Below are 14,399 nucleotides of genomic sequence, written 5' to 3' on the forward strand. Positions count from 1 at the left end.
AAAAGGAAGCAGGGAACTCAGTTAGAAGGCTACCAGAGGGGCCAGGCATGGTGGCTCACGCTTGTAACCCCAGCACTTTGGGAGGCCGAGGCAGGCAGATCAGTTGAGGTCTCAACTGAGTTCAAGACCAGCCTGGCCAAAATGGTGAAACCTCATCTCTACTTAAAATATAAAAATTAGCCAAGCATTGTGGCAGGTGACTGTAATCTAACCTACTGGGGAGGCTGAGGGTGGAGAATTTCTTGAACTCGGGAGGTGGCGGTTGCAGTGAGCCAAGATCAAGCCACTGCACTCCAGCCTGGACGAAAGAGTGAGACTCCGTCTCAAAAGATAAAAGTATAGAGAAAAATCAAACAGGTCAAGGGGTTGAGTTGACTGTTATTTTAGACATAGTTATTAGGGAAGGCCTATCTAAAGAACTGCTAGTAATCCCAGTATTTTGGAAGGCTAAGGAGGGAAGGATTGGTTGAGCCCAGGAATTTGAGACCAGCCTAGGCAACACAGTGAGACCTCATCTCTATAAAAAATGTTTCAAAAAAAGTTAACCAGGTGCAGTGTGCTTGCTTGTAGTTCCAGCTACTCAGGAAGCTGATGTGGGAGGATTGCTTGGGCTTTAGAGGTTGAGGCTGCAATGATCCATGATCACACCACTGCACTCCAGCCTAGGTGACAGAGCAAGGCCCTGTCTCAAAAAAAAAAAAAAAAAAACACATAGAAAACCTGGGGTGTGGTGGCTCACACCTGTAATTCCAGCACTTTGGGAGGCTGAGGTGCGCAGATAGCTTGAGCTCAGGAATTCAAGACTAGCCTGGGCAATACAACGAAACCCTATTTCTACAAAAATACGAAAATTAGCCAGCGCTGTGGCACGAGCTGTAGTCCCAGCTACTTGGGAGGCTGAGGTGGGAGGATCACCTGAGCCTGGGAGGTCAAGGCTGTGGTGAGCCATGATCATGCTACTGTACTCTAGCCTAGGCAACAGATGAGACCCTATCTCGAAAAAAAGAAAAAAAAGAAAATGGGAACACTGGCTGGCTGGATATTTGTTAATGTTAAAGAATTTATATATTTGTTTAGTCATATTAATGGGAAGGATAGAATATATATATATATATATATATATATATATATATATTTTTTTTTTTTTTTTTTTTTTTGAGACGGAGTTTCACTCTTGTTGCCCAGGCTGGAGTGCAATGGCGTGATCTCTGCTCACCGCAACCTCCGCCTCCCGGGTTCAAGCGATTCTCCTGCCTCAGCCTCCGAGTAGCTGGGATTACAGGCATGTGCCACCACGCCCAGCTAATTTTGTATTTTTCGTAGGGACAGGGTTTCTCCACGTTGGTCAGGCTGGTCTCGAACTCCCGACCTCAGGTGATCCACCCGCCTCGGCCTTCTAAAGTGCTGGGATTACAGGCATGAGCCACCGCGCCCGGCCAAATATATTTTCTTCCAAATAATCCAGGGATAGAAGAAGTGGCTAGGGGTGTAGATGGGTCAGGATTAGCCTAGCCGACAGTTATTGGAGCTGGATAATTGGTACACAGGGTCCATTACATTATTCAGTCTACTTTAGTATATATTTGACATTATCTGGAGTGAAAAATTTTTTAAAAGCCAGGTGGGATCAAATTCTTCTGCTTAAAGTCCAAACTCATATGGTGTCACCTGTTTTTTTTTATTTGTTTGTTTGTTTGTTTTGGAGACGAGTCTCGCTTTGTCTCCCAGGCTGGAGTGCAGTGGTGCAATCTCGGCTCATTGTAACCTCCACCTCCCAGGTTCAAGCGATTCTCCTGCCTCAGTCTCCCATGTAGTTCGGATTACAGGCATGCACCACCACACCCGGCTAATCTTTTTTGTTTGTTTGTTTGTTTGAGACAGAGTCTAGCTCTGCTGCCCAGGCTGGAGTGCAGTTGCGCAATCTCAGCTCATTGCAACCTCCATCTCCTGGGTTCAAGTGATCCTCAGCCTCCTGAGTAGCTGGGACTACAGGCATGTGCCACCACGCCCAGCTAGTTTTTGTATTTTTAGTAGAGGTGGGATTTTGCCATGTTGGCCAGGCTGGCCTTGAACTCCTGGCCTAAAGTGATCAGCCTGCCTCAGCCTCCCAAAGTGCTGGGATTAGAGGCGTGAGCCACCACTCCCAGCCTAACTTTTGTATTTTTAGTAGAGACGAGGTTTCACCATGTTGGCCAGCCTGGTCTCAAACTCCTGACCTCAGGTGATCCGCCTGCCTCAGCCTCCCAAAGTGCTGGGATTACAGGCGTAAGCCCCCTCACCCAGCCATGTCACCTATTTTTTTTTTTAACCTCAGCCTGACACCATGTTTATCCTGAGTTCTTGCCATTTATCTTCTCATACTGTGTCCAGATACATTGAATTTGTAATTCCCAGAATTCACAATACTCCGTCTCGTCTCCATGCCTTTGTGTACACTGTTCCTCAGGCTGGAGTGCCCTCCTTGCTTTTTTGTTTCTTCTATGCCTTTCATACCTAGGTCAGGTATCTCCCTTTCCAGAAAGCCTCCTTTGGAATGAATGGAACCATACTGTATTCTCATACAGTGTTGTAAATGTCTGTTTCCCTTTGCTAGACTTTCAGCTCCTCGAAACAGGGATGACCTCTGTATCACTACAAGTGCTTTGCACTCAGTTAATGATTGTTGAATAAATGGTTATTCATCTTTAAATTCCCAGCACCCAGCATGACACTTAGCACATACTCAATAAATGTTCGTTAGATGAATGTTGAATATGAATATTGTGTTTTGCTTGGTGGTTGTAGGTATAGGAGGCTGTGCTCCCCAAAGCCTTGAAGTTTATGGTAGAATTGGCTGGCAGAGGATCAGGAAGAACTGGGGAATCATCTGAATTATTTGCTCCCAGCTTTTGTTTCTTCTCTACAGGCATGGGTTGGAATTGGAGCCTATCCCCCAACCCGAAGGCTAACAGCATCATGTGGTTACTAACTGTTCCTCATTCACCGGTTGATGCCTCCCAGAAAAAAACGCCGCCAGCCTTCCCAGAAAGCCCCGCTGCTGTTCCACCAACAACCACTGGAGGGCCCCAAACACAGCTGTGCATCTACACAGCTTCCCATCACTCACACTCGACAGGTGCCCAGCAAGCCCATTGACCACAGCACCATCACTTCCTGGGTAGGCCCATGGGATTACTATTTGACATTTTTTTTTTTTTTTTTTTTTTTTTTTTTTTGAGACGGAGTCTCGCTCTATCGCCCAGGCTGGAGCACAGTGGCGCGATCTTGGCTCACTGCAAGCTCCGCCTCCTGGGTTCACACCATTCTCCTGCCTCAGCCTCCCGAGGAGCTGGAACTACAGGCACCCGCCACCACGCCCGGCTAATTTTTTTGTATTTTCAGTAGAGATGGGGTTTCACCGTGTTAGCCAGGATGGTCTCTATCTCCTGACCTCGTGATCCGCCCGCCTCGGCCTCCCAAAATGCTGGGATTATAGGCGTGAACCACCGCGCCCGGCCTACTTTGACTTTTACTCTGTTAGGTTTTCCAGAATGCTGACTCTTCTGCCCGGCCTACTTTGACTTTTACTCTGTTAGGTTTTCCAGAATGCTGACTCTTCTGCCCCTTGAACCAGGGACTCCAAAGAATAAGATTCATGGGGGCGGGGGCAAGGAGTTAATGTATTCTGTCTGTGGCCAGCCATCTTCCCTGGTACATCTTCTTTTCTCAGTTCAAACTGAGGAACGGGTTAGTTGGAACTGGAGTCTTTCTCTTCCCCTATTTTCCTCTGAAAGAGTTCATTGTAAAAGTTTTTTTACCCATTAGCTGGGTGAGAATGCCAGATAAATGGCAGAACAAGTTAAAAATGAGATTGTTCCCTCAACTTCATGTGAAAGGTGGAGTACTTGGCTAGATACTCTGTTTATTGTGTAATGGATTGAACCTTGAAAAATAAAACCCCATAAGAATAGCATATGTCATATTTTGACCGCTTAAAAGCCCTGGGAAGAGAGGCCGGGTGTGGTGGCTCATGTTTGTAATCCTAGAACTTTGGGAGGCCAAGGAAGGAGGATTGCTTGAGCCCAGGAGTTCGAGACCAGCCTGGGCAACATGGTGAAACCCCATCTTTACTAAAAATATTAATAGAAAAATTAGCTGGGCATGGTGGTGCGCACCTGTAGTCCCAGCTACTTGGGAGGCTAAGGTGGGCAGATCTCTTGAACCGGGAGGTCAAGGCTGTAGTGAGCCAAGATTGTGCTACTGCACTCCAGCCTGGGCAACAGTGTGAGACCCTGTCTCAAAAAAAAAAAAAAAAAAAAAATAGAAACCCTGGGAAGAGAATATAGCTACTATACAACAGGAAAGTAGTATAGTAAAAGGGCCAGACAAAAGCATAAGCTTGGCTTAGGAGTATTTAATAAATGTAACTTATTCAGGACTGCTTGGAAGAACCATAATACCTGCTACAGGATTGTGGAAGAAACCTAAACATCAGAATCCTGTGGATGAGAGTAGGAATGAACATTTATTGAATATTCATTATATGCCAGGTCCTCTGCTAGTTCTCACCCGCTATGCTTGGAGTTGGCTATTCATTAACTGAGGGCCTTCTTTGTTCCAGGCATTCTGCTAGGTGCTGGGAATCAAGAACAAGACCACTGGTCCCTACCCTCATGAAGTTTAAAGATAAATAAGTTATATCTAGACCAGGTGTTGTGGCTTACGCCTGTAATCCCAGCACTTTGGGAGGCTGAGGTGGGTGGATCACTTGAGGTCAGGAGTTTGAGACCAGTCTGGCCAACACGGTGAAACTCTGACTCTATTAAAAATATAAAAATTGGCTGGGTGCCGTGACTCATGCCTGTAATCCCAGCACTTTGGAAGGCCGGGGTGGGTGGATCACCTGAGGTCAAGAGTTCAAGGTCAGCCTGGTCAACATGGTAAAATCCTGTCTCTACTAAAAATACAAAAATTAACTGGTCGTGGTGGTGCGCACCTATATTCCCAGCTACACGGGAAGCTTAGGCAGCAGAATCGCTTGCATCAGGGAGTCGGAGGTTGCAGTGAGCAGAGACCTGCCATTGCACTCCAGCCTGGGCGACAAGAGCAAAACTCTGTCTCCAAAAAAAAAAAAAAAAAAAAAATACCTGGGCGTGGTGGCAGGCGCCTGTAGTCCCAGCTACTCGGGAAGCTGAAGCAGGAGAATCACTTGAACTGGGAGACAGAGGTTGCAATGAGCCGAGATGGTGCCGCTGCATTCCAGCCTAGACGTCGGAGTGAGACTCCATCCCAGGGGGAAGAAAAAAAGTTATATCCATATGGTGTGATGAAGTGAAAGAGACATCGTCCCCTTTCCTACACATGAGGAAGCTGAAGGCCGGAGAGATGGAATAATTTGCCCAAAGCTTCCTGTTATTATGCCATTAGACAGTTATTTTAGTTTTGTGTTCATTACTACAGTAGACCCCGATTTAAGAGTCTGGTCATCAGATACAGTTTCCTCTCTTAGGTTAGTACTTAGTTAGGCTCACCTCACTTTTTTTTTTTTTTTAAGGTATCACCTGATTTTGATACAGCAGCAGGAAGCTTGTTCCCAGCCTACCAGAAACACCAAAACCGGGCGAGACACTCAAGTCGAAAACCTACCACCTCCAAGTTTCCACATCTAACTTTTGAGAGTCCGCAATCTTCCAGTTCAGAGACATTGGGGATCCCCTTAATCCGAGAGTGCCCCAGTGAATCAGAAAAGGATGTTTCCAGAAGACCCTTAGTTCCAGTGCTCAGTCCCCAAAGCTGTGGGAACATGTCAGTGCAGGCACTTCAGAGCTTACCTTATGTGTTCATTCCACCTGATATCCAGACCCCAGAGTCATCGTCTGTGAAGGAAGAACTCATTCCCCAAGATCAGAAGGAAAACAGCCTTCTAAGCTGCACTCTTCACACTGGCACTCCTAATAGCCCAGAGCCTGGACCTGTTCTGGTTAAAGACACCCCCGAGGACAAGTATGGAATAAAGGTCACATGGAGGAGACGACAGCACCTGCTTGCTTACCTCAGGGAGAGAGGGAAGCTGAGCAGAAGCCAATTCCTTGTGAAAAGCTGACTGCCATCAGTAATCTCAATAGAAAAGAGATATGTTTTCTGGAGTCATAAAGGAATTCAATTCCTAGGGTTTTTGTTTTTGTTTTTGAGATGTAATATTGCTCTGTTGCCCAGGCTGGAGTGCAGTGGTATGATCTCACCTTACTGCAACCACCACTTCCTGGGTTCAAGCGATTCTCCTGCCTCAGCCTCCCCAGTAGCTGGGATTACAGGCACCAGCCACCATGCCTGGCTAATTTTTTTGTATTTTTAGTAGAGATGTGGTTTCTCCATGTTGGCCAGGCTGGTCTCAAAATCCTGACCTCAAGTCATCTGCTGGCCTTGACCTCACAAAGTGCTGGCCCAGCCGAGATTTGTTTTCTAAGATACTTTGTGTCATGAACAGTTCAGTTTAGTGTCATGAACTATTCACTTCATATTTTTCTTGTATTAACTGTTTAAATTTTTAAAATATCTTGTAGTAACTCTTTAAAATGTATGTAAGTAAATGGCTGCAGAAAGTTTTTTTAGAGAATCCTGCTTCCATCAGTAATACAGCAATATTACCCCATCCACTAATGGTCTTTGTTTCCTTAACCACTACTCATTAATCCTTAATCACCTCATTCAAACTAATTCATTCTGCATTTTTGAGTACCAACTCTTGTCAGGCTCAGTGGCAGCTTCTACGACCTGATGGATGGAAAAAAATCAAACTCTGTGACTCTATGGTTGACTGCCACCTCTGCAACCTTGACTCATCTGCTGAAAAGGCAAGAAGAAGAAAGGGCAGCAAGCCCTGTTTTAGGGACTACATAAGATGAGGGGAGATAAGGGGGACATAGATGAGTTCTTTAGGATTGCGTGTGTTTTGAGTTTTTGTTTCTAACTGAAGAAATCTGTCAATATTAAATAGGGTGGGAAAATGGTTTCTTAGAATAACTGTTCAACTGTGTGTAAATAAGGAAAGTTTTCAATGAGTATTACTTATTGTAATTAATGCAGAAGGACTTCCCCAGTCAACCGAATGTCTCGGCCTTTTACTCAGACAAGTAGCATCTCATTAAACCCATTCATTTAGCATTCATTCAGCTGGACCTACTGTGTCAGGTCCAGCCCCAACTAGATCAAGCAGGGATTACTGTATATTTTACAGATGGGAGTTTGATGCAGAGAATGAACCATGCACAGGTCACACAGTGAGTGCACGCTGACCCAGGCAGTGTAACGGTCCACTCTCAGCGTGTGCCTCCTAAAGTACTAACTTGTAGGTTCAAAACCAATGTGGAAACAACTTTGACCTTAGAACGCCATAAAGCCATTTGTGCAGTGACTTGTCAGGACTCAGGATGTTTTGTAGGGACTATAATGTGCATGTCGGTAGGGAGAAAGGGACTGACATTTGGGGACGGGATTTATTGGAGACAAGAGTACACATTTAGACAGGGGCTCTCACGGTGGGCTATGGATGTTTGAGGAAGGCCCACAGGAGGTAGAAAGGTAGATGGAAAGAGTCTCCAGGACGGGCCCACGCCTGTAATCCCAGCACTTTCGGAGGCTGAGGCGGGTGGATCATTTGAGGTCGGGAGTTAAGAGGCCAGTCTGGCCAACATGGTGAAACCCTATCTCTACTAAAAATACGAAAAATAGCCAGGCAGTAGTGGCCCCTGCCTGTAATCCCAGCTACTCCACAGGCTGAGGCAGGAGAATCGCTTGAGCCTGGGAGGCGGAGGTTGCGGTGAGCTGAGACCGGGCCACTGCACTGCAGTCTGGGCGAGAGAGAAACCCTGTCTCAAAAAATTAAAGTCTCTGGATTCCCTCGTGTGCTTTAGGGGAGTCTGTAGAGCAGGTCTAGGAATGACCTAAAAGCTTGGGCTGGAGTAGGGGAAGCTTAAGTTCTGTGCAGTTGAAGTTCAAGGCCAGCCTATGGAAGATGCGTTTCACTGGGAGTGACTGATGGAGTGGAGAGGGTACCAGAGGGGGTCCACGAAGGCCGCTGGTATCAGGGCAGGGGCCAGAATGGGAAGCGGCAGAGGTCTGTACATCCTCACAGGGCAGACCTCGGGAAGCGCTCTGGGTGGGCTCGGTAAAAATGGCGGGGGTGCGAGGAGCCGTTGCGTGCGTGGCGGTTGGTGCGGTATAGGAGACTCCTCTGACCGGACTCGCCTGCTGGCCGCGCGGCGGGCGAGGCCCAGGCAAAAACAAAGTCTTCCCGCTCAGTACCGGCCCCGCGAGGCGCTCCAGAGGACCAAGCCTTAGCTCGCGTCACCCCACCCCCGCGCAGGCGCGTTTAACTCCCGCTCGCCTCCCGCCCCTTAGCAACCCTCCCGCATCGTTGGGCCCCGGCAATAGCCAATGAGACAGGAGCCACGAGAACACGGACCAATCGGCGGCGGCGACAGTGTGGAACGCGGTTGCCAGGAGGCGGGACGCGGCGGCGTGCCAGCCTAGCCACTCTAGCGACGGCGGGGAAGAGTGTGTACGTGGTGGGGGCTTCCTCGGTGGCGGGCATGGAGGCTTCGCGCTGCCGGCTCAGTCCCAGCGGCGACAGGTCAGACAGGGCCGTGGCAGGTCTCCTCCTGAGCGAGGCGGAGGGGCGAAGCGAGAAGGCGGAGGTCCTCTCCGGGAGCCCTGCGGGGAGAGGGCGGGACTCGGGACTTGGCGACTCAGGGAGGGACTGGTTTCGGCGGCGGGAGGCGACCCCCTCGCCCTACTCCCGTGTGGGGACCCCTTTCTCAAGTGGAGCGGCGGCACTACATCCCGCGCCGTGGGCAGAGACCTTTGGTTCAGGTCCCTGCTTAGGAACTTCTGGAGTTTTCGTGACGGGCTCCCTCGGCCCCTCTGGGCCTCGGGTTTCCCTCGGGGGAGAGGCGCTGGCCCCGCTCAGCTCCCACTGCCCGGCGGTGTCACAGCCGAGAGGGGACCCAGCCCCTCCCGGGAGGCGGTGCGGGTGATGTTTAGTAGCTTGTTCTGACGCCGCTGCTTCGGACGGGTAAAGCTGAATTCTGGAGCAGAGTCCGAGGAGCGGAAACGCGAAACTTCTTTTTCCTCTCTGCTTTCCAGTGTTTGTCCCTGATTCGGGATGGTCTGACTGATTTGCCAGTGGGCCACACCCCTTGTTTGTGCGCCTCTTTCTCTGCCAGAGGGAGAGCCTCGGAAAAAAAAGGATCCAAAATCTCAGCGTGTCACTTTCTTGTTCGCTAGGTTAATGAGAAGTTAATGGGAAGCCGTTTGAAATCATTGGTTAGAAACTTTGGCGTCATCTGAGGATTTAAGCCCTACACGCCAACTGTATACCCCGCTTTTTATTCCATTACCAAGACAAAGATTTGGGGCCAGGCGCCTTGGAACACGTCTATTATCCCCAGCACTTTGGGAGGCCAAGGCAGGAGGATCGCTTGGTCTCAGGAGTTCGAGACCAGCCTGGACAAGATAGCGAGACCCCCATCTCTAGAAAAAAATAAAATAAAATAAAATCAATCAGTCAATCAATTAAAATTTGGCCGGACACGGTGGTGCGCGCCTGTAGTTCCAGCGACTCGAGAGACTGAGGAGGGAGGATTCCTTGAGCCCAGGAGTTCCAAACTCCTGTGTTGGGCCACTGAGCTCGCTAGCCTGGGCAACGCAGTGACATCCTGTCACCTTAAAAAAAAAATGATTTGACGTGTAAGTATTTAGTTTGATATTTCCACTAGTAGATATTTAAACAATTTTAAACCATTTTTAAAAATTGTCACAAAGTTGTTGGGGGTAAAGAACATGTATTTTCCTTTTTCGTCAAGTTCTATTGAGGTGATAGCTGCACTCTGAAATTTGTTCACTGTGCTTTTTTTTTTCCCAAGTCGAGGAAGAAAACTACATTTACAGGTGTAAGTGGTAGAGGAGATAAAGTTAGTATTCAGCATCTCTGGTTGAATTCCGAAAATATTTGTTCAGTTGTGGGCGCTCAGTTTTAATTCCATGAATTTAAAGTAGTAAATTTCATGAGTACCAGATGTTTGATATGACTCAGATTTTTTGGGGAAAAAAAAACGGGATGCGGGATTGACTTTGAAATTGGGACCAAGAGGCTTTTCCTTCCTTTTTTTTTTCTGAGACGGAGTCTCTCTCTGTCGCCAGGCGGTAGTGCAGTGGTGCGATCTCGGCTAACTGCAGCCTCCGCTTCCCGGGTTCAAGTGATTCTCCTGCCTCAGCCTCCTGAGTAGCTGGGACTATAGGCACGCGCCACCACGCCCAGCTAATTTTTGTATTTTTAGTAGAGACGGGGCTTCACCATGTTGGCCAAGATGGTCTCGATTTCTTGACCTGGTGATCTGCCCACCTCGGCCTCCCAAAGTGCTGGGATTACAGGCGTGAGCCACTGCGCCTGGCCCCCTCCTTGTTCTTCCGAAAGAAACTAGCTCTTTAAATTTTATTTTCTTTTCTTTTAATTTTAATTTTTTTTTTTTTTTGAGACAGGGTCTCACTCTGTCGCCCAGGCTAGGATGTGGTGGGCGATCTCAACTAATTTCAACCTCTTCCCCAGGTTAAGCGATCCTCCCACCTCAGCATCCCTAGTAGCTGGGACCACAGGTGCGTGGCACCACCTGGCTAATTTCTTGTATTTTTTGTAGAGGTGGGGTTTCGTCATGTTGCTCAGGCTGGTGTCGAAGTGAGCTCAAGTGATCTGCCTGCCTCAGCCTCCAAAACTTCTGGGATTACAGGCCTGAGCCACTGCACTTGGCCCTAAATTGTAAAATTGACATCAAAGGGGAATGTGTGAGTCACCAAATGTTTCTCCTGCCCTCTGTAATGTTAGTGCAACTTCTATCAGTGTTTAACTCATTTGTTACTAAGAGGGAGTCTCTTGCTTTTTTCTCTTTTTGGGCTTCAGGTTGTGTGTTTAATGTGTTTTTTTTTTTTTTTTTCCAAACGGAGTTTCGCTCTCGTCGCCCAGGCTGGAGTGCAGTGGCGCCATCTTGGCTTACTTGCCTCCTGGGTTCCAGTGATTCTCCAGCCTCAGCCTCCTGAGTAGCTGGGATTACAGGCATGCGCCACCGTGCCCGGCTAATTTTTATATTTTTAGTAGAGAGGGGGTTTCTCCATGTTGGTCAGGCTGGTCTTGAACTCCCGACCTCAGGGGATTCGCCCGCCTCGGCCTCCCAAAGTGCTGGGATTACAGGCGTGAGCCCCCCAACCCTGCCTGGCTGTTTAATGTTTTTGATGAAATACATTGATAGAATTTTCTGTATTACTGCCTTTCAATGTAAGGATAACAACCAACTTTTAGGTTTTCTGTGTTTTTTTTTTTTCTTGGAATTATGTAACTTTTATCATGAAGCAGATTTATTTTCAACAAAATAGAGAAATTATTAACTACAAATATTTTTTTTAATTTTTATTTTTTTGTAGAGACAAGGTCTCACTATGTTGCCCAGGATGGTCTTGAAGTCCTGGTCTCAAGTGATCCTCCTGCCTCAGCCTCCCAAAGTGCTGGGATTACAGGTGTGAGCGACCAGGCTTGGCCTATTTTCTTATATCAGAAATGTTTAGTGAAAATTGGAGGTGAAATTTGAAACAACACTCAGGACCTTTGTTGAGGCTAGGCATTTTATAATATAGATTCCCTGGAGATGACGGGGGTTGGCTGGTGCTGGAACTTGAGCCCTATCTGGCCTTTTGTAAGTGATAGAGAATTGAGAATTGAAGGCGTGCTTCCCACTGTGGTGTGACCTTGTGAGCTGGAGTCATCTAAGAAATCCCAGTCGGTGGTTTGTCCATATACCATGATTTCTCTTTAGAAATATAAACAGTAGGCTGGGCATGGTGGCTCACACTTGTAATCCCAGCACCATGGGAGGCCGAGATGGCGGGGGGGCGGGGCGGGGGGGGGGAAATCACCTGAGGTCACGAGTTCAAGACCAGCCTGACCAACATGGAGAAACCCTATCTCTACTAAAAATGCAAAACTTAGCCAGGCATGGTGGCAGGTGCCTATAATCTTAGCTACTCAGGAGCTGAGGCAGGAGAATCGCTTGAACCAGGGAGGTGGAGGTTGCAGTGAGCCAAGACTGTGCCACTGCACTCTAGCCTGGGTGACAGAGCAAGACTCCGTCTCAAAAACACACACACACACACACACACACACACGCACGCACACAAAAAAGAGATCTGTCAAGATAAAAAGCTCAATAATAGGCTAGGTGCAGTGGCTCATGCCTGTAATCCCAGCACTTTGGGAGGCGGAGGTGGGCAGATCACGAGGTCAGGAGTTCAAGACCAGCCCAACCAACATGGCGAAACCCTGTCTCTACTAAAAATACAAAAATTAGCCAGTTATGGTGGTGTGTGCGTATAGTCCCAGCTACTCCGGGAACTGAGGCAGAAGAATTGTTTGAACCTGGGAGGCGGAGGTTGCGGTGAGCCGAGATCACACCACTGCACTCCAGCCTGGGCGACAAGAGCAAAACTCCATTTGAAAAATAAAATAAAATGAAATAAAAATAAGAAATAGTGAAAATAAATAACATTCCCGAAGAGAGAAAATATAACCCCTGAGAAGGGAGAATTGGGCAAAAGTTAAAACGAACTTAAGTTCTGAGTAATGTCTGTTTGAATCTACAAGTAATAAATGCATTCTTTTAACTTCTGGATTAAATCATACATCTTAAATAGCCTTTTTGTTTAGTTCACTCAAAAGAATGCTTTTTGCTTTTGCTGTGTGGTACTTGCAAAATCAGGAGGGGTTTACTCTAAAATAGTTTTCCCTGCAGCATTCTTTGGGGCTATGGGAATGCTCAAATCAGCGGCCAGCCTTTGCTTCTCATTGCCTCCCTCTCCCCAGGCAGTTCTCCCTGCTCTGATTGTGTCTCTACTAAATGGGCCTCCTAGGAAATGGATGTTCATTCCCTGGCTTCAATTAAGTTAGCTCCAGATTGTGGCCGTCTTTCAAGTAGAGGACAGCTGAGCTTAGAATACTAACATTTCTCCCTAGATGAGGAAGGATAGATGTCAAAGGAATTCTTTTCTGACACTTCTCATATGACCTTTATGTGTCTTTTCTCAGAAGCAATATTTTGTTCAAGCCAGATGTGTTCTTGGTGTGTCAGTATGTGTAAAAACATGGCCTTCGAATATTGACATTTAGGATTTGGACAAGGTGAACCTATTTGTCAATTGAGTTAGGAAACATACTTTGTTAATAGCTCTTTCCACAATTATCTGAAATTGTTATCAGTTTGAACATGATGAAATCTGATGCCTCTTTCACTCTATACAGTTATTTGCCACTTAATGATGGGGATGCATTCTGAGAAATGTGTCATTAGTGGATTTTGTTGTGTGAACGTCATAGTGTACACAAACCTTGATGGGATATCCTACTACCTACCTAGGCCCTGTGGTACAGTCTGTTGCTCCTAGGCTACAAAGCTATACAGCCTGTTACTGTACTGAATATTGTAGGCAATTGGAACACACTGGTAAGTATTAGCATATCTAAACATAGCAAAGGTACAGTGAGAATACTTTTTTTTTTTTTTGAGACGGAGTCGCATCTTTGTTACTCAGGCTGGAGTGCAATGGCATGATCTCGGCTCACTGCAATCTCTGCCTCCCAGGTTCAAGTGATTCTCCTGCCTCAGCCTCCCAAGTAGTTGGGATTACAGGCGTGCACCACCATGCCCAGCTAATTTTGTATTTTTAGTAGAAACGGGGTTTTACCATGTTGGTCAAACTGGTCTTGAACTCCTGACCTCAAGTGATCCACCCGCCTCTGCCTCCCAAAGTGCTGGGATTACAGGCGTGAGCCACTGTGCCTGGCTGACAATGTGGTGTTATCATCTTAGGGGACCCCTGTTGTATATGCAGTATGGTTGACCTAAATGTCGTTATTCAGGGCACTCCTCCCCAGGGCTGCTTAAAAATCCATTCACTGGCTTGGAAGTTCTACCTAAAAATAGCAAGTCAGCTGGCATTTTTAATGAACATATTGAAATACCAGAGAATGAAATTCCTGTCTCTGCTGACCATTTTAATACACGTGTTCAGTCGTGTGGTTTAACACATTCAGGTAGATTGGGAGTGAGACTTGTGATTGAATTTGGGCTCTTTCGCTGATCAGCTGTTTGACCTTTAGAATATGAACTATAGTTGTAAGTTTAAAATTGCTTTCCTGTGATGTGTAGAAAATAAGGCTGTAACAAAGCAAGAAATATTTTTCAAATATGCTCCTGGAAAAATAAAATTATTGCTATTTAGCTTTGCAGGAAGAAACTTCAATAAATCTACAAGGTAGGTGCTATAATCTCATTTTACAGAGAGATATGAAACTCATATGAAAGGAGTTCACCTCCTTTCTC

The 14,399-nt window shown here is 46.9% G+C and overlaps 2 protein-coding genes and 1 long non-coding RNA gene across 10 annotated transcripts in view, besides 2 other annotated features; all 3 read left to right on the plus strand.

Annotated features, from left to right (window-relative positions):
* Positions 1-7,147, plus strand: part of RHNO1 (RAD9-HUS1-RAD1 interacting nuclear orphan 1) — a 13,260-nt gene extending 6,113 nt beyond the window's left edge. For 2 of the 7 annotated variants that reach the window (NR_046433.2, NR_027365.3), the window contains exon 2: positions 5,534-7,147. Coding sequence is in view for 4 of the 7 variants with exons in the window: in NM_001257097.2 (NP_001244026.1) it covers positions 2,990-3,157; positions 5,534-6,082 (717 nt within the window). In the remaining 3 variants the exon portion in view is untranslated. Of the gene's footprint in view, positions 1-2,784; positions 3,158-4,600; positions 4,735-5,533 lie in introns of all 7 variants that reach the window. The other 5 variants (NR_046432.2, NM_001257097.2, NM_001257098.2 and 2 more) reach the window with 5 other exon arrangements.
* Positions 3,426-3,949, plus strand: LOC124902860 (uncharacterized). The gene is made up of 2 exons (XR_007063160.1): positions 3,426-3,520; positions 3,576-3,949. It is a non-coding gene; the product is annotated as an uncharacterized LOC124902860 (long non-coding RNA).
* Positions 7,910-8,089: an enhancer, noted in NCBI's record as "active region_5816". NCBI's record gives its function as "activates an Ori minimal core promoter by ATAC-STARR-seq in GM12878 lymphoblastoid cells {active_cell/tissue: GM12878}" and the evidence as "EXISTENCE:reporter gene assay evidence [ECO:0000049][PMID:35858748]".
* Positions 8,360-8,409: a silencer, noted in NCBI's record as "silent region_4136". NCBI's record gives its function as "represses an Ori minimal core promoter by ATAC-STARR-seq in GM12878 lymphoblastoid cells {active_cell/tissue: GM12878}" and the evidence as "EXISTENCE:reporter gene assay evidence [ECO:0000049][PMID:35858748]".
* Positions 8,514-14,399, plus strand: part of TULP3 (TUB like protein 3) — a 50,248-nt gene continuing 44,362 nt past the window's right edge. For both annotated transcript variants that reach the window (NM_003324.5, NM_001160408.2), the window contains exon 1: positions 8,514-8,611. In NM_003324.5, coding sequence (NP_003315.2) covers positions 8,571-8,611 — 41 coding nt within the window. In that variant the 5' untranslated portion in view covers positions 8,514-8,570. The remainder of the gene's footprint in view (positions 8,612-14,399) is intronic.

The sequence above is a fragment of the Homo sapiens genome, chromosome 12, assembly GCF_000001405.40.
Source record: "Homo sapiens chromosome 12, GRCh38.p14 Primary Assembly".
Taxonomy (NCBI): domain Eukaryota; kingdom Metazoa; phylum Chordata; class Mammalia; order Primates; family Hominidae; genus Homo; species Homo sapiens.